Here is an 18,258-nt window from a genome sequence, read left to right on the forward strand (position 1 = left end):
TTTTGTTTGAAAATTTTCCAGCTTTTGTTTTTTATTTATTTATTTTTTGAGACAGTCTCACTGTGTTGCCCAGGCTGGAGTACAGTGACACAATCTCAGCTCACTGCAGCCTCCACCTCCTGGGTTCAAGCAATTCTCCTGCCTCAGCCTCCCGAGTAGCTGGGATTACAGGCATGAGCCACCACACCTGGCTAATATTTATATTTTTGGTAGCGACGGGATTTCACCATGTTGGCCCAGCTGGTCTTGAACTCCTGGCCTCAAGTGATCCACCTGCCTCGGCCTCCCTAAGTGCTGGGATTATAGGCATGAGCCATCATGCCTGGCTGAAAACTTTCCAGTTTTTAAATGTCATGCATGTTTTTGCTCAAGAACGCTTTGGCTGTTTGGGGCATTTTGTAGTTCCATACAATATTTTTTTCCGCTGTAAAAAATTACATTGGAATTTTAATAGGAATAGTATTAAATCTGTAGGTCACTTCGGGGAGTATGAACAGTTTTAACAGTGTTAATTCTTCCAACCCATGAATACAGGATATCTTTCCATTTATTTATGTCTTCAGTTTCTTTTAGCAATGTTTTATAGTTTTCAGCATACAGATCTTTCACCTCCTTGGTTAAATTTATTACTAAGTATTTCATTCTTTCTTTTTTTTGAGACAGGGTCTCACTCTGTCACCTGAGCTAGAGTGCAGTGGTGCGATCACAGCTTACTGCAGCATTGAACTCCTGGGCTCAAGTGATCCTCTTGCCTCAGCCTCCCAAGTAACTGTGACTGCAGGTGTGTACCACCATGCCTGGCTGATTTTTAAATTTTTTTGTAGAGACATCTCTGCGTTACCCAGGCTGGTCTTGAACTCCTGGACTCAAGCAGTCCTTCTGCCTTGGCTTCCCAAAGTGCTAGGATTACAGGTGTGAACCATTGCACACGGCCTTATTCTCTCTTGATGCTATTGTAAATGAAATCATTTTCTTTATTTTTTAGATAGTTCATTATTAGTATATATAATAGAAGTGCTACTGATTTTTATATGTTGATTTTAGTATCCTACAACTTCACTGAGTTTATTCTAACAATCTTTTGGTGAAGTTCTGAAGGTTTTCTATATATAAGATTATATCATCTGCAAACAGAGACAGAGTAACTTCTTGCTTTCCATTTTTGATGTATTTTATTTTTCTTGCCTAATAGCTCTGGCTAAAACTTCTAGTACTATATTGAATAGAAGTGGTTAAGAGTGGGCATCCTGTTTTGCTCCTGATCTTAGAGGAAAGGCTTTCAGCTTTTTACCACTGAGTATGATATTAGCTACGGGCATGCCGTATGTGGCCTTTATTATGTCGAGGTCCATTCTTTATACCTAATCTGTTGAGAGTTTTTATCATGAAAGGATGTTGAATTCTTTCAAATGATTTTTATACATCTATTGAGATGATCCCTTGATTTTTATCCTCGATTTTGTTAACGTGGTATTAGTTAATTTTAATTAATTTGCATATGTTGAACCATCTTTGCATCCCAGGGATAAATCCCATTTGTTCATGGTGTATGATCCTTTTAATGTGCTTTTGAATTTGGTTTGCTGGTATTATATTGAGGATTTTTGCTTCTCTAGTCATCAAGGACATTGACCCATAATTTTATTTTCTTGTAGTGTCCTTGCTGGCCTTGCAAAATGAGTTTGGAAGGGTTGATTCCATCCTCTTCAGTTGTTGGAAAGAGTTTAAGAAGGGTTGGTGTTAATTCTTCTCTTTAAATATTTGATGAAATTCACCAGTGAAGCCGTGACATCCTGGGATATTCTTTGTTGAGAGGTTTGTGATTTCTGATTCAATCTCCTTACTTACTATTGGTCTCTTCAGATTTTCTATTTCTGTATTATTCAGCCTTGGTGTAAGTTGTATGTTTCTAGGAATTTATCCATTTGTTCTAGGTTATCTAATTGGTTGGCATATATTTGTCTATAGTAGTATCTTATATAATCCTTTGTATTTTTGTGGTATCAATTGTAATGTCTCATCTTTCATGTATAATTTTGTCTTTTAGTTCAGCTAAAGGTTTGTCAGTTTTATCTTTTCAAAAACTCCTGGTTTCATTAATGTTCATTTTTTTCCTTCTGCTGACTTTGGGCTGTTCCTTTTCTAATTCCTTGAGGTGTAAAGTTAAGTGTATTTGAGCTCTTTCTTCCTTAATATAGGAGTTGATTGCTGTAAACTTCCTTGTAGTGCTGCTTTTGCTGCATCTCTTAAGTTTTGGTTTGTTGAAAAACGAAAAAAAAACACAAAAAAACAGAGAGCTGGAGGCATCATGCTACTTGACTTCAAAATATACTAAAAAGCTGTCATCAAAACAGCATAGTAGTGGTGTAGAAACAGACATATAGACCAATGGAACAGAATAGAGACCCCAGAAATAATTCATATTTACAGTCGGTTGGCTCTTTGACAAAGTTGCCAAGAACACACAATGGGGAAAAGAGAGTCTTTTCAATAAATGGTGTTGGAAAAACTGGGCATCCACATACAGAAAAATTAAACCCCTTTCTCACACCATATACAAAAATCAACTCAAAATGGACTAAAGATTGGGGGCATGGCTCAGGGGTAGAGGATTTGACTGCAAAATGGACTAAAGACTTAGTAAGATCCAAAAGTATAAAACTACTTGAAGAACACACAGAGAAAAAGCTTCTTGACATTAGCCTGGGCAATGATGTTTTGGATATGACCTCAAAAGTATCACAGAAGCAAACATAGACAAATGGGATTGTGTTAAACTAAAAAAAAAATTCTGCATAGAAAAGGAAACAAACAATAGAATGAAGAGATGGCCTGTAGAATGGGATAAAATGGTTGCAGACCATACATCTGATAAGGGGTTAATATATAAAATATACAAGGAACCCATACAACTCAATAGCAAGAAAATAAATAACCGGATTAAAAAAATGAACAGGCCGGGCGCGGTGGCTCACGCCTGTAATCCCAGCACTTTGGGAGGTCGAGGCGGGCGGATCACGAGGTCAGGAGATCGAGACCATCCTGGCTAACACGGTGAAACCCCGTCTCTACTAAAAATACAAAAAATTAGCCGGGCGTGGTAGCGGGCCCCTGTAGTCCCAGCTACTCGGGAGGCTGAGGCAGGAGAATGGCGTGAACCCGGGAGGCGGAGCTTGCAGTGAGCCGAGATCGCGCCACTGCACTCCAGCCTGGGCGACAGAGCGAGACTCCGTCTCAAAAAAAAAAAATGAACAGAGGACCTTAATAGAAATTTCTCAATAGAAGACATACAGATGACCAACAGATACATGAAAAGTGCTCAATATCACTAATCAGGGAAATGCAAATTAAAACCACAGTGAGTGGCCAGATGCAGTGGCTCATGCCTGTAAATCCCAGCACTTTGGGAGGCCGAGGCAGGCAGATCACTTGAGGTCAGGAGTTCAAGACTGGCCTAGCCACATGGCAAAACCTCGTCTCTACTAAAAAATACAAAACCACAGTGAGGTATCATCTCACATCTACTAGAATGGATATTATCAAAGGCAAAAGGTAACAAGTGTGTTGGGAAAATGTGAGATAAAGGGACCCTCTTAGACTGTTGATGAGAATGTTAGTACAACCAATATGGAAAATAGTATGAGTATGGAAGTTCTGCAGAAAATAAAAACTGAACTTCCATATGATCCAGCAATCCTACTTCTGGGTATACATCCAAAGGAATTGAAATCAAAGAGATACCTGTACTTCTGTGTCCCTCGCAGCATGATTCACAATAGTCAAGTTATGGAGACAGTGGAAGTGTTCATCAGTAGATGAATGGGTAAAGAAAATGTGGTATATGTGTACACTGGAATACTCTTCACCCTTACAAAAGAAGAAATCCTGTCATTTGCAGCAATATAGATGAACCTATTCATAAATGAAATAGCCAGGCACAGAAAGACAGATACTGCATTTTCTCACTTATATGTGGTATCCAAGAAAGTCAAACTCTCACAGAAGCTGAGAGCGGAGTGGTGGTTGTCAGGGGCTGGGAGATGAGCGGTGCTTGGGAGGGCGTTGGTTAAAGGTAAAAAGTTTCAGTTAAGTTAAATATGTTCTGGAGATCTATTGTACAGTGTGGTGACTGTAGTTAATGTATACTTGGAAATTACTAAGAGATTAGCTCTCAAATGTTCTCACCACAAATAAGTGCGAGGTGGGTATGTTAATTAGCTAGATTTAATTTCACGAGGTCTATGTACATCAAACCATGTATATTGTAAATATATACAATTTTTATTTTTTAATTATAACCTTAATAAAAGTGGGAGGAAAAGTGATAAACGGTAATAAGCCCTTAAAGGTAATAAGTTAACTTGTCACCCAACGTATTTATTAATTTTTCTATACAATGTAATGTGCTTGGAGAACATTGAGGCCGGGCACGGTGGCTCATGCTTGTAATCTCAGCACTTTGGGAGGCCAAGGTGGGCGGATCACTTGAGGACAGGAGTTTGAGACCAGCCTGGCCAACATGGTGAAACCCCATGTCTATTAAAACTACAAAAAAAAATAGCTGTGCATGGTAACGGGCGCTTGTTATCCCAGCTACTCGGGAGGCTGAGGCAGGAGAATTGCTTGAACCCAGGAAGTGGAGGTTGCAGTGAATCAAGATCACACCATTGCACTCCAGCCTGGGCAACAAGAGTGAAACTCTGTCTCAAAAAAAAAAAAAAAAAAAATTGAAAATCCGCAAGCTTCAGAAGACACACTACTGCGTGTTTGTCCTTCTACGGAAGTCAGTACAGATCTCAATGACTTGTTCTCATTTCACCAGAAAATGACCATTGTGCATTATGCTGTCAGTGCAGATGGAAAACTAGCAGCAGTTTACAAAGTTTCCACTTGAAAAAACATAACTCTAATTGATTTAAAAAAGTAGTTGATTGTTGCAAGACTTGACATTTCTCTAGTTAATTTCTATGCCTGTTGTTTTGCCCCTTACCGTCTTCAAAATCTGAATCCAAATCCAGGGCTTCTCTATTAGGAGGCTCCATATCATATCTCTTTAATCCTGATAATTTCTCAGTTTTTTGTTTCCTACCTACCTGGCTATTTTCTTACGCTATCTTTATTTGCTTAGTAAATATAACATTTCATGTTCTATTTTATTTTATTTTATTTTATTATTTTATTTTTTATTTTTGAGACAATGTTCTGTTGCCCAGGCTGGAGTGCAGTGGCATGACCATGGCTCACTGCAACCTCCATCTCCTAGGCTCAAGTGATCTTCCCACCTCAGCCTCCTGAGTAGCTGGGACCACAGGTGTGCACCACCATACCCGGCTAATTTTTTTATTTTTTGTAGAGACAGGGTTTTGCCATGTTGCCCAGACTGGTCTCGAACTCCTGGAATCAAGCAAGCCACCCCCCACTTGGCCTCCCGAAGTGCTAGGAGTACAGGCAAGAGCCACTGCACCTGGCCCTGTTAACTTCTTATGTCATTTCCCCACTTTAATATATTTGAGGGCTAGTTCTGTGTCATGTATGTATTTTAACATCACTACCGCATCTGGTGCAGAGAGGGGCATTCTGTAGTCTTCGTACTTCTTATCTTCACTATTGCTGATGAGCCATAACAAATTTGAGATGAGCAATTAATAGATGGACCGGCCAACAAACACTATGTGGAGGAATAAGTGAGGCCAAAGCTGATGGATGATGCAAAGTGAGGACGTAACATATTTCGCTGGGGAACCAGACAGATATGCAGAGTAAGCGCTCTGATAGGGGAAGTACGGGCTGTTATGGGCGCTTCATACTGGGAACATTAATGGGAGGTGGAGGTCGTAGTTGAAGCTGAAACCTGTTGGGTGAGGTGGAGTTCGCCAGGTGAAGTGGTAGACTTGGGGAAGAGGAGAGGAGGGGGAGCATCCTGTGTTTAGAACCAAAGAGAGTTTAGTGTGTGATTATTGGGTGGGGGTGGGAGGGTAGGTCATAAAGGGCCTGGTAAACTGTTAAGAAATTTTAAACTTTATCTCAAGAGTTGTGGGAAATCACTGGCAAGTTTTAAGTTGGTAGGTGAAGTGCTGGCTGGAGGAATCCCTCCAGCTTGGGTATGTGAGGATGGCCTGAGAACGGAGGCACCTGCAGTAATCCCCCAGTGAGAGACACTGTAGCCTGAGCTGACCTTGGGGCTAGAAAAAGGGGACAAATGGCGGCTGAGGAGGAGAATCTCTGTGAGTTGATTGAATGGGGAGAGGCAAACATCAAGCCCAGTGCCCAGACTTCTGGGAGGATCTGGCTGCTACTCAGTATGGCGGTTGAGGAGGAGAATCTCTGTGAGTTGATTGAATGGGGAGAGGCAAACATCAAGCCCAGTGCCCAGACTTCTGGGAGGATCTGGCTGCTACTCAGTGAAAGGAAGCCTGGGAGGTTTGGGAGGGCAGATGGATGAGCTCATTTATGGACAGATTGAGTTCAAGCATCTACAGATCATTGAAGGGGAAATGTGAGCTTGAACCCTGCATTTGAAGTTCAGAAAAGAGAAAGAGCAGAATGAATTGAGTTCTGGGAGTCTTTCCCATGTGGATAGTAACTGCAGCGGATGAGGTGATAAGATCACCTAGTTAGAGGTGGGGGAGCAGAAGAGGGCTTAGGGCAGAACTCTGAAGAGCAACCTGCAAAGGAGACTGAGGAGGAATGGACAGAAAGGGTGGAGGAAATCTTCATGGGTGCTTTTCAAGGAGGCAGTGGTTACCAGCATTAGCTCCTGCAGAGCCAAGAGAATTGAGTCATTTTGCTGGGCTTAGCAACAAGAACTTTCAGGGACTTCATGGCAGCGTGACAGCATATGGAGATGCAGTACTGTTGGCCTGTACAGAGCCTTTTTTTTTTTTTTTTTTTTTTTTTTTAAATTCCCTGAGATGTAGTCTCGCTGCTCTGTCGCCCAGGATGGAGCGCAGTGACTCGATCTCGGCTCACTGCAACCTCTGCCTCACGGGTTCAGGTGATTCTTCTGCCTCAGCCTCCCAAGTAGCTGGGATTACAGGCATGCACCACCATGCCCGGCTAATTTTTTTGTATTTTTAGTAGAGACAGGGTTTTGCTATGTTGGCCAGGCTGGTCTCGAACTCCTGACCTCAAGTGATCCACCCGCCTTGGCCTCCAAAGTGCTGGGATTACAGGTGTGAGCCACCACACCCTGCCAGTACAGAGCCTTTGAAGACATTAGAAAATGTGTGCCTTTCTGGATGGACACAGTCCCTGGCTTGGTGAGTGGACCGTGCATGGGACTTCAGCTCTTATGTGCCACCTTAGCTGGGTGCACTTGTTTAGTGTGCAGAATACACCTTCCATGCGTGGTGGCCTAGGATATATCTGCACTTCTCAATCGAAGGCAATGTTGCCTCCCAGGGAATATTTGGCAATATCCGAAGAAATTTATGATTGTTATAGCTGAATCAGAGAGGGTAGGTGCTACTGTCATCTAGTGTGTAAAGGCCAGAGATGCTGCTAAACACTCTGCAGTGTCCAGGACAACCCCTGACAACAAAGAATTATCCAGCCCCAAACACCAGTTGTGCTGAGAAACGCTGGTGTCTGTGACCCTTTCAGGCTCATGGGAAAAGGCGGTCAGAGAGGGTGATAGCTGGAGGTGGGTGGACCTGAGAACAGGCTCCTTACATACTTTGCTGCAGTCTCATTTGCTTGTGGCAGTTTTCACCTTGCCTCTCCTACCTCTCTACCATAGAACTCTTACTCATCATGTTATAGGTTTTCATTTGTTTATTCTTATGTAGCCATTTTCACTATTCCCTCTCCCACCCCCACTCCCCCAAGCAGTAAATTCTGTAATGCAAGGCAATCTTGTGTCCTTATTTCTGTTTCTGGGCACACTGTAAAACATCTGTATTTTAATAGTATCTGTCAGGAAATTCTATTTTGGCAACCAAGTACGGGCTAATCTAAAGTAGCCCATACTTGAGTGCTATGTTGATAAGGCTCTAATGCATAGTTAGCCCCTTGACTGTCAGGCTTGGAAAAAAGACAGGAAGTATTCCTTGTCTTTGGAAATGAGCCTACTCTGGCTTTGGGAAGGAAAGAGTACAAATGGTTCTCACCAGATAGGGTTGCAGCAGCTCTCCCAGCATTTTGGGAACAAATCAGGTCATTATCTCAACAATGTCAAAATTGTGTTCCCAGATCGGTTGTTGTTTGAAACATTTGGGGCTGATGCGGAGGAGGAGAATTAATTAGCAGCTCCCTCTGTTGGTGTTCTTTTTCAGCCTTCTCACATTGCAGCACGAGAGTCCCTTAGACATGCTGGCTGCTCATTTGATAATCTGTGTTTTGCTCAGTACAAAAGGTTGCTGGCTAAGTTTTGTGAGCCCCTCTAACGTCAGGCTGGCAGTATCTTGGGTTCAATTAACAAGAAAGTCTACAGTAACATTTTGTCAATGGGGAAGGACTTGAATTCACAGAACTGTCTCGGAAAGCCCTGGGTAAGTTTGAAGAGCAAAGTTGCCTTTTCTGTTTTCAGAAATATTTTACCCCGCAACGATGTGTAAATCTAAAGCCTGTGCAAGAATGAAAACGAGCTTGAGTATTAAGATTTGGCACAGTGTGTGCAAGCAATGAGACTGGGTTAAAAACAGGAAGTGTCTTAATTTAAAGATGGTGATGGGGAGACGGATTAAAATAAACTGCTGGCCATGTTGAATCTGAGATAGGCAAGCCTTGGTTGTGGGCACATTCCCTTCTGAATTACTCTATGCAGATATATTTTAGGCCTCTTTCTATTAAATTGTCTTTCACATGGTTTCAAAGATAGGGCTAGTGATAAGAATTCTCTTCCTGCATGGTGGGTACCATTATATAAACGGTATGAGCATGCTTTTCTTGTGTCTCTGTATAACTGCTTGGTCTGGCACTCCACAAAATAGTAAAACACATTTCTGCAGTGGACTAGCCCATGCTGTGAAAGAGGAAGGTGGTGGTGGACAAAAAGTGGTAAGTTTTAGGCTGAAGGATGTTGATGTTAAACTTTATTTCTGATTATGGCAGTCTTTCATCATGTAATTTAAGAAGCCTGAGATCATCTGACTTTTTTTTATGTTTTTTTTCTTTAGGACTGCAGGAAGTGTTGATAAACATCTGTTTAAGTTGTCTATACCATGAAATCCATAATCTTCCTTCATAACTATGATAGCATATGGTTTTCTATAGTTAGGAAAACTATTTCTCATGTATTTCATGGTTTGGCCAAATCCTTTTATTACATTAGTACTAAAAAATTCCTTAGGATTTCTAGAGAAAATAATATGTATTATGGATAAATAAGGGAAAGTAAGATAATTCTTAAACCTTAGTATCAGCAGTCATTCTAAACCACATTACACATCTTCAGTAAAAGTGGTTACAAAAGATTTTTCTCACTTCAAAAGATCCGCCAGGGAAGAGTCCCAGCTTTTTCTTGGTGTTATTTTAGGTATTAACTCAGGAGGGCTTCCTGAAGGTTTGTCAGTGAGATAGTTGGGGGGTTCCTGAGCTTTTTATTGTTGTACGTGAACTTGGTACTTACTTCTTTGGCTTTTAAACTCTCAGCAGCACGTACAGATGCCCTCACATGCTTTCTGGGATGACTTTAACGCTAAATAGCAGGGGTGTTTCTCAAGAATGTTTAAGAAAAGAAAGCAGACATTTGTTTGCACAAACAGATATTTGTGACTTCTGTGAAAAAATTCCAATAGTTGTAATATAGGAAATTTTTATAAACAAACACCCCTACCAACTAACCCATCGTGTATTTTTATGTGTGTATAGAAAAAATGAAAGGATATACTAAAATGTTAATTGCATAGTTTCTCTGGGAATTGAATTTAATTAAAATTTTTTTATCAAGATTTTTAAAGTTTTATAATGACCACGTTATGTTTATGTAATAAAAATAAAATAGAGGCTAGGCACAGTGGCTCACACCTGTAATCCCAGCACTTTGGGAGGCTGAGATGGGAGGATTGCTTGAGTCCAGGAGTTCGAGACCAGCCTGGGCAGCATAGTAACACCCTATCTTTATTTTTAAAAAATAAAATAAGAGAGGGGGACAATAAATGCAAATATATAAATGACAGAAATTTTATGGTCTGGTCAAAGAACTATCATTGCATGAAATTATAGATATGGTCATGTAAGGTTACCTTTTTTCATTATAATTCCACCAATAATTCTAAAGTTTCTTTTCTTTTTTTTTTTCTACTTCTTCCACAGAAAAACAGGACAAAGAAACCTGTGTGAATTTTCAGCTTTTCACCTTCTCTGATTTTATTTCTTCCTCACTCTTCCTTTGACAGTCCTCGCAGTCCGCCTGAGAGAGTAGAGAAGACCCCCTCCCAGAACCTTCCTGTAAGGTCTCCCCGCTGACTTCCTGTAGTGGATGTGACTGTGTGCCAGGTGCCTGCCGAAGACCCCTGTCACTGACTGTGCCCTTTGGGAAAGAGTCAACAATGGCCTCCTCCTATGGCTGACTTCGTTCATGTTCAGGCTCTCCAGCTTGCTAGTGAGAATTGCCAAGGATTGGTTCATGGCAGGATAGAACTAAACTGATAGATGAAAGCTCCACAGTGCTTCAAGACGGGGTCCCGTTCATGTTAAGCAGTTTTCCTTCCTTCAAAATAAAAAACTAGCAGTCCTTAGGGAGGACAGTTTTTTCCTTCCTTTTCCTATTCTGGCTCCAACAGCTGTCTCAACACAGCCCGAGATGGGGAGCAGCCTGGCTTCCACCGGCAATAGCTGTATTGTGGGAGTGTGAAAGAGAAGCCACCTTTTCCTCCCTCTGCCCAAGCCACCTGGCCCCTTTGTCCTTTCTCCTCCTCGTCCTCTGAGGTATGAGTGGCTGTGACTGTATGACATAGGAACTATGAAGCGGGGTGAGGGGACGGTTTGGTGCGTAAATCCTCACGCAGGTGGCGGTTATTGTCTGTGTGGAGGAAATAAGCCCGGTTCTTCCTGGGACTGCTTTCATTTCCCTCTAGCTTCCAGAGGGTAAAATGAACCTTAATGGAGGTTGGGGGGTGGCACGCACAAAGTCCTGGGTTGAGGGGGCAGTGGTCAGAAAGTTCCCTAGGGTAATATACAAAGGAGAATTAACACTGGGGACACTGAGGTGGGTTTTGGTCCTTTCCACATAACTGACACCTTTCAAAGCAAGGACTTGCTTTCTCGTGAGGAATGTCAGCAGTCGCAACACCACTGGGTTGGATGCAGGATAATTATTCAGAATCACGAGTTACCTGTTTGCAAGCAATCACATTGCAGGTGGGATAAATAAGCAGACAGTCTGTGGTAGGTTCCCCCACCCCAACCGCCTCCCCTCCCCCCAGGGATACTGTAATTTTAAGTATTGTTTTGGATATTGGTAATTCTAAAGCTCCAATCTTAACTGGGTTTTATGAAAGCCGTTATAGGGTGTTTATTACCAAAAAAACCTCCTTCTTATTTAATAATACAGTGCCTAGCCACTCCTTTTTCCCTGCATCCGTACATGAAGCCTGATTGCAGATCTCGAACAGTATATTTCTTTGAGCTAAACAGCAAGAACAGATAAGGTATCTTATCAAAACACCACGCCAGGTGGCGTGGCTCACAGCTATAATCCCAGCAATTTGGGAAGCTGAGGTGGGAGGATTGGTTGAGGTCAGGAGTTTGAGGCCGCAATGAGTTATCGCGCCACTGCACTCCAGCCTCAGCAACAGAGGGAGACCCTGTCTCTAATAAAACAAAAACATTACACCATTGTCAGAAAGTGATTTGTTCTTCTTTGTTGGATTAAATTCTCTCACGTGCAAGGTAGTGGCCAGCAGCCTAAGAAGATACACAAGCTCTTCACTGTAGATGTTTGGCGGTGTGGGAGTTACAAGGTTAATTATGAGCGTAAGGCCCAGGCATCTTTTCTTCCTAACAATTTCATTTCATCCTATTTCTTTTTCCATTCTTTCTCCGAACTGTCTATACTTTATTAAAGTCTTCTTTTTCCCAGACTCCAGAATAATTTCCTGTGATATGTTTTAGCAGTTTCTCCAGGAAAAGGCTCCAGGAGTCTTTAAATCCAGCCCTCTTTCTGCTGTATCTTTGTGCCTCACATCTTGAGAGAAGTTGAGTGGTAGAAAGTAAAGGAAAGCAGAAAAAGAGATGGGTCAGGGAGGAAAGCCAAGATGGAAAATGGATGGGAATGAATGAGGAACATGATGTGGGTTGGGGTGTCAATTCATGGTTAATACAACATGTGTGGCTCAGTATAACCAGATTGTCATAAGAAGCTCAGGCAGCTCTCCCCCTCTGTTGCCTGGGGCTTTTCGCAGTTACAATAAAAGTGGAAAGATGAAGAATAAGGGCAAGCAGAAGACACACACATTTGCCTGTTTCCCTCTTTTTGTCCAGATTGAGTAGATGGGAGGCAGGGCTGTTACCCATGATGGTGTTTCATACCAGAGTCAATCTACTAGTTTGCTTGGTTTTATAGGCGTGATTCCCAAATTTTGAATCTGAAGTTAGCTGTCAGTTTAAATTCAGAGGGTCCGCAGTTGTTTTTCAGGTTTTTCTTGATTCTGCCTTTGGAAACCAGGAAGATGTTGAATTTACTTTTCATCTGACAATATTGCACATCTGTGAACCCAACTGATCTGAAAGTGTTTACCTCTTAACTCTGTGAAGTTAGCTGGTTATTCTGGATGGCTGGGACAATGGTGAGGACCGTTTATAATGGTTACTCTCACCTGTGCTCCAGACGCTCCACTTGGTGCTAGAAATACAGCAGTGAACAGACATGGTTCTTGCCTCCACACAGCTTGCAGTTTAGTAGGGCAGACTGACGACATTAAAAAGATACCATCGGTGTTGTTATAATGGTGATAAGAGTTACAAAATAAGGGGCCAGGTGCAGTGTCTCACACCTGTAATCCCAGCACTTTGAGAGGCCAAGGCAGGAGGATTGCTTGAGCCCAGGAGTTGGAGACCACCCTGGGCAACATAGTAAGACCTTGTTTCTACAAAAAAAAAAAAAAATCAAAAATTAGCTGGGTGTGTTGATGTGCACCTGTGGTCCCAGCTACTCAGGAGGCTGAGTTGGGAGGATCACTTGAGCTCAGAAGGTCAAGGCTGCAACGAGCTATGATCGCACCACTGTATTCCAGCCTGGGTAAGTGAGACCCTGTCTCAAAAAAACAAAAATAAAGGGAGCATGTAACAGTAGGATCTAATCTAGCCTAGGCAAGTACGGCATTCTTGAGAAGTGACTTAAGACCTGAAGGACTGATCGAATTGTCTGTGTGAAGATTGGCAGCGGGTGCTCTGAGGGGGAAAAGCGGAAATAGCATATGCAGACACCCTGAGGTAGAAAGGGAGCTCTGGCCTGCTTGTGTGATTACTGTGGGAGAATGAACAGGAAGAAGACGAAAGTAGAAGCAAGAAGACCAATTAGGAGGTTCCAAGGACCTGCCTAACTAAGGTCAGTTAGCCGGTGATTGCCCAAGCCAAGACTCAAACTCATTTTTATGAAGGCCGCACACCCTCATCTCCTCAGCAGTTGTTAAACAATATTTGATAATGGTGTTCATGTCAACCTGGCACATGTCTAGAAGATTCTTAAGTGACTTTTTCTTTTCACATGGCTTTTTGACCTTTTAAATATAATATGTTTTAATATGACGTTATTAGCTGCACAAAGGAAGGGAACTGCTCATTTGAATGAACCAGAAGAAACTTGGAATTTTGCCTGCCTTCTGCTTCAGCCCTGCCAAAATGTAATTTCTTTAATTCATCAAATCACATTCTTGACTAATCTGCTCAAGTCTGTACTATGCCTTGGCCTTTTTCCCTGTGACAATTTAGGGATCTTTAAAGAAAATATTTTGAAATGTTTTCTCTTGATCAGGGTGCTTGTGGTTAGGTATTGCATACACTGCTTTTATTTGCAGAATGAGCTATTTTTCTACCATGTGATCCTTTGTTAGAAATGAACATGATTGTGGCTGGCCGCAGTGGCTCACGCCTGTAATCCTAGGACTTTGGGAAGCCAAGGCAAGAGGATAGCTTGAGCCCAGGAGTTTGAGACCAGCCTGGGCAACATAGCGAGACCCCTTCTCTACAAAAAAATTAGAAAATTATCCAGGCCTGGTGGCACACACCTGTAATCCCAGCTACTTGGGAGGCTGAGGTGGCAGGATCGCTTGAGCCTAGGAGGTTGAGGCTGCAGTGAGCCATGATTGTGTTACTGCACTCCAGCCTGGGTGACAGACAGCGAGACCCTGTCTCAAAAAGAATGCAATTGTAATTTTGTCACCTTTATTTAAAAAAATCATTTATCAGGTGGTTGCAATGAAAAGCAATTTAGTTGTTTACAACCTCTACCTTCCAGGGACTTAAGTGTGTTCAGAAGTATTTAAAATGAAATAATTATCTTAGCTAATAATGATAAAATTACTGTGGAGCATTGAGGGCTACTTTGTGCCAGGCAATCAGCTTTAAACACCTTTGATTTTCTCCCTATGATGAGGGGTATACTGTGATTTTTATTAAACATTTGGGGAAACTGAGGCTTAAAGTGGCTGAGTTTTCTAAGAGCACGCAGGTGGAAAGTGATCAAGCTGAGTCCTCAGCTTCATATCTTCTCAGGGTCCTTGATCTTCCGCACCCTGTAGTTCTGGTTCATTTTAGGCAATTATCAGAAGTCACCTCAAATGCCAAGAACCTGTGTAACACAGGGGATGAAGTAAATGTGAGCAATGTAATGAAGCGTTTCCTTATAAACTGTTGTAAGGATTTTGTTCCAGAGATGAAGTATGAGAAAAATATAAGCCAATTGTTCAGTTTCATATTAGTCACCCTCTTCTACTGAACTTTGGTAAATTCAAAGCTTCCCTCTATACGAATTTACTTTTATAGGAATATTACAAAATCTATACTAAGAAATATTAGAAAATAACCTGTACTTAATAGGTTTAATGGAAATTAAACCCAAATATAATGGAAATCTGAATGAATGCTCATTTAAAAAAATATAATTTATAGCAGTGGTTCTCAAACTTTAGCGTGCATTTGGGTCCTCTGGAGCATTATGTTAAAACACAGATAGCTGGGCTCCAACCCCAGACCTTCTGATTCAGGAGTTCTGGGACTGGCGTACAAATGTACATTTTTGACAAGTTACCAGCTGTATGAGGGTTCTCCAAAGAGACAGCATAGGTATATTAGGAAGGAGATTCATTATAGGAATTGGCTCATGTGATTACGAAGGCCAGGAAGTCCCAGGATGTTCCCCAAGAAGTCTCAAGATCTGCCATCTGCAAACTAGAGAACAAGAAGGCCATTGGTGTAATTCAGTCTGAGTCTGAGGGCTGAGAACCTGGGAGCACCTGGCGTAAGTTTCCATCTCCATCTGAGTCTGAAGATCCAAGAACCAGGTGCGCTGATGTCTGAGGGCAGGAAAAGATAGAAGTTCCAGCTCAAGCAGAGAGCAAGTATTTGCCTTTCCTCTCCCTTTTTGTTCTATTCTGGCCCTCACTGATTGGATGACACCCATCCACACTGATGAGCATCCATGTTGGCGGTCTTAACCCTTTTCCCACTTAGAAAAAAAGTGCGGTTTGTGGCCAGTGCTTATTTAATTTTACATAAACAGGCTGTTGGAGGCTAAAGCAAATCGGACTGATTTTCAGTGTGAAAATAAAATAGAAAATATTATTTCTAAACAGAACTAACATCACAACCATCTGAATTATCAGAATCATCTATTTCAGAAAAATCGGATTCATCAAATGAATCTTCCATCAACTGTTAGAGAACGATGTTAACATCACTCATAGGAATGCTATGTTTTCTAGGATTTGACATTTTCAGCAATTGAGAATTACTATATTTTGTAAATGGAAATGCCACTACTAAAAACAGAATCCTATAAATAGGATGATGTCTTTTGTTTCCAAAGTCGATATACTAGAACGATGTGAAAATTTAAAAAACGAGATCTTTCGTGGCAAGGTTATCTTGGGGTAAACACTGCAGCTGCAAGCACCATGGGCAAGTATTCTCAGGGCAAACAGGAAGAGAGTTAGTGAAGTCTACTAATTCAAATGCTGATCTCTTCTTGGCACACCCAGAAGTAATGTTTTACCGGCTGCCTGGGCATCCGTTTGCCCAGTCAAGTTGGCACGTGAAATTAACCTGCATACCAGGTAATGTTTCTGCTGCTGGCCTAGCGACCACACTTTGAGAACAACTAATAAGTCATAAGACAGTAGAACCCCTGGATAGTAATAAGTGCTCGTGAAATGAGCTGGCCAGTAGCTAATCCCTGAGAAAGCCATTTCCTAGTCTTATACCACGTCAGTAATCCAAAGCAGGATGGCGATCTGAAGTCCTGAAGAGTCAAGGGTGATACGATGACTCTATGGAGCCATCACCACTATTGGGAAGACAGTGGGGACACCTGCCTCCCCTACCTTCCACACCATGTACATGATGGCACGTGACTTAGATGTGCAAACTGTGCAGTGTCAGCTTTGTGATGATAAACTCTTCCACTCAGTCTGCTATGTATATGGCATAGTCACTATACTGCTAAATTAAATAAATCAAATGAGTGAACATAAATCAGGATTCAGATACCAATTAGGTAAAATACTATAGTTTGTATATGATGGGGATTATCCTTTTTCTGGAATGTTTCAGCATCCAACCTTTGCTGCGTTTGTCTTCTTGCAGTGACTGAGAATTAGCTGAAATAACTGTAAAAGCGTAAGATTCCCATTTGGCTGGAGATGAAATCACAGAGGTTGGTTTACTAAGCCTTAAGAAATTCCTTTAGATTTGATGTGTCCAGACTTGTACTGGAATATGAAATATTCAATTTGACAAGATCTGTGAGTTCCTAGTACATACGTGTTTTTAGAAATGTGTTTCTCAAAATACAATTAGGAAAAAATCCCTTTGAAATGCTAAAACTACCTTTAGTGGTGATAAAGATGCCGACAACCCCTTCTGTTTAAATAAAAACAAACAACTTTTAACCTTCATGATGTTATAATAACATCATTAACTTGTGTAGACAAACATCAGTGCTCACATTTAAAGTAATCATTAAACATTTTCAGAGTTATACTTAAAATGACTTTTTAATCATACTATAAAATACTGCTGCAAAGTTGTTGGTGGGGTACTAAGTTGTAGTTCTTATTTCTTCTTTCTCTACAGTCTGTTTTGGCTCTACCTTGGGGGGAAAATACCCAAAGAATTGTAACTGAATACAGAAGCATTTTAAAAAATCTTATTTTAAAGAGGAGGAGAAATTTTAGAGCTATTTCTGATAATAAACCTCAAAAAGTGAGAAGTATTAGAATTTATCTTGGTTAATTTTCTTTTTTTAATTAACGAGCATGCATTGCTTATATAAAACTTTTCTCTGTATGTGTCTGTATCTGATGCAGTTAGAAGTTCAATGTGAGTTTAGTGATTCCCAGGGAAGACTTAGGGAACCTTGGTTTCTGAGTTGTGCTCTCCTCTGACTACGTGGTGAGTCTTAGTCTCTGGAGTCAGCCAGATCCAGATCTTAGTCTCATGGAGTTAGCCATGATCATTTTAAACTTATAATTATTAAAGTGCTATGATGTACAAAGGTGCTTATGAAACTAAAATTTGAGGAATTAGATACAATGACTATGCGGTTTTGCTTTTTAGTAACTGTTTCTCATTACTTCATTGATCCAAAGTGAGATTTTTAAAGCTAAAGTCCTTGTTCCATTAAGATAATTCTGTCATTTGTCCAGTTACTCTCCTTACTCAAATTGCTAGCCCCTTTGGTACTTTTCTCTCTAGCTCTTGCCCTGCTTCATGATGTTCCTGAATAGTTTTAGTTTTCTTTGTTTATTTTTCCACTTTCTTGGGCCAGACCTCCAATTTAATTCTTTTAGTTGAATGAGCTGCTTTCTCGCTTGTTACAGACTCACTTAGGGCTCATTCCTCCCTGCCTTAGTCCCAGTATGGTCTCAGTAATGACATGCAGTATGGGGACTTTGGACTCCTGTTTGAACAAACCAGCTTTGAGATGATAAAAATTTGAATATGAATTGAGTTCTTGAAGATAAGAAATTGTTAATTTTGTTAGGTTTGTTAATGGCATGGTAGTTACTCTAAAAACAAATTTCTGGGCGAGTGTAGTGGCTCATGCCTGCAATCCTAGTACTTTGAGAGGCCAAGGCAGGAGGATCACATGAGCCTGAG

The 18,258-nt window shown here is 41.2% G+C and overlaps 1 protein-coding gene across 39 annotated transcripts in view; it reads left to right on the plus strand.

Moving 5' to 3' along the window:
• Positions 1–18,258, plus strand: part of KANK1 (KN motif and ankyrin repeat domains 1) — a 275,809-nt gene that overhangs the window by 68,558 nt on the left and 188,993 nt on the right. For 12 of the 39 annotated variants that reach the window (XM_047423041.1, XM_047423067.1, XM_047423060.1 and 9 more), the window contains 2 exons: positions 664–781; positions 1,656–1,815. The exons of 17 other annotated variants lie outside the window; for them this stretch is intronic. The gene's annotated coding sequence lies outside the window, so the exon portion shown is untranslated. Of the gene's footprint in view, positions 1–663; positions 782–822; positions 913–1,655; positions 1,816–8,264; positions 8,490–10,254; positions 10,870–18,258 lie in introns of those variants that run through there. 10 more of the 39 variants (XM_047423056.1, XM_047423045.1, NM_001354334.2 and 7 more) reach the window with 4 other exon arrangements.

This window comes from Homo sapiens, chromosome 9 (assembly GCF_000001405.40).
Source record: "Homo sapiens chromosome 9, GRCh38.p14 Primary Assembly".
Lineage (NCBI taxonomy): Eukaryota > Metazoa > Chordata > Mammalia > Primates > Hominidae > Homo > Homo sapiens.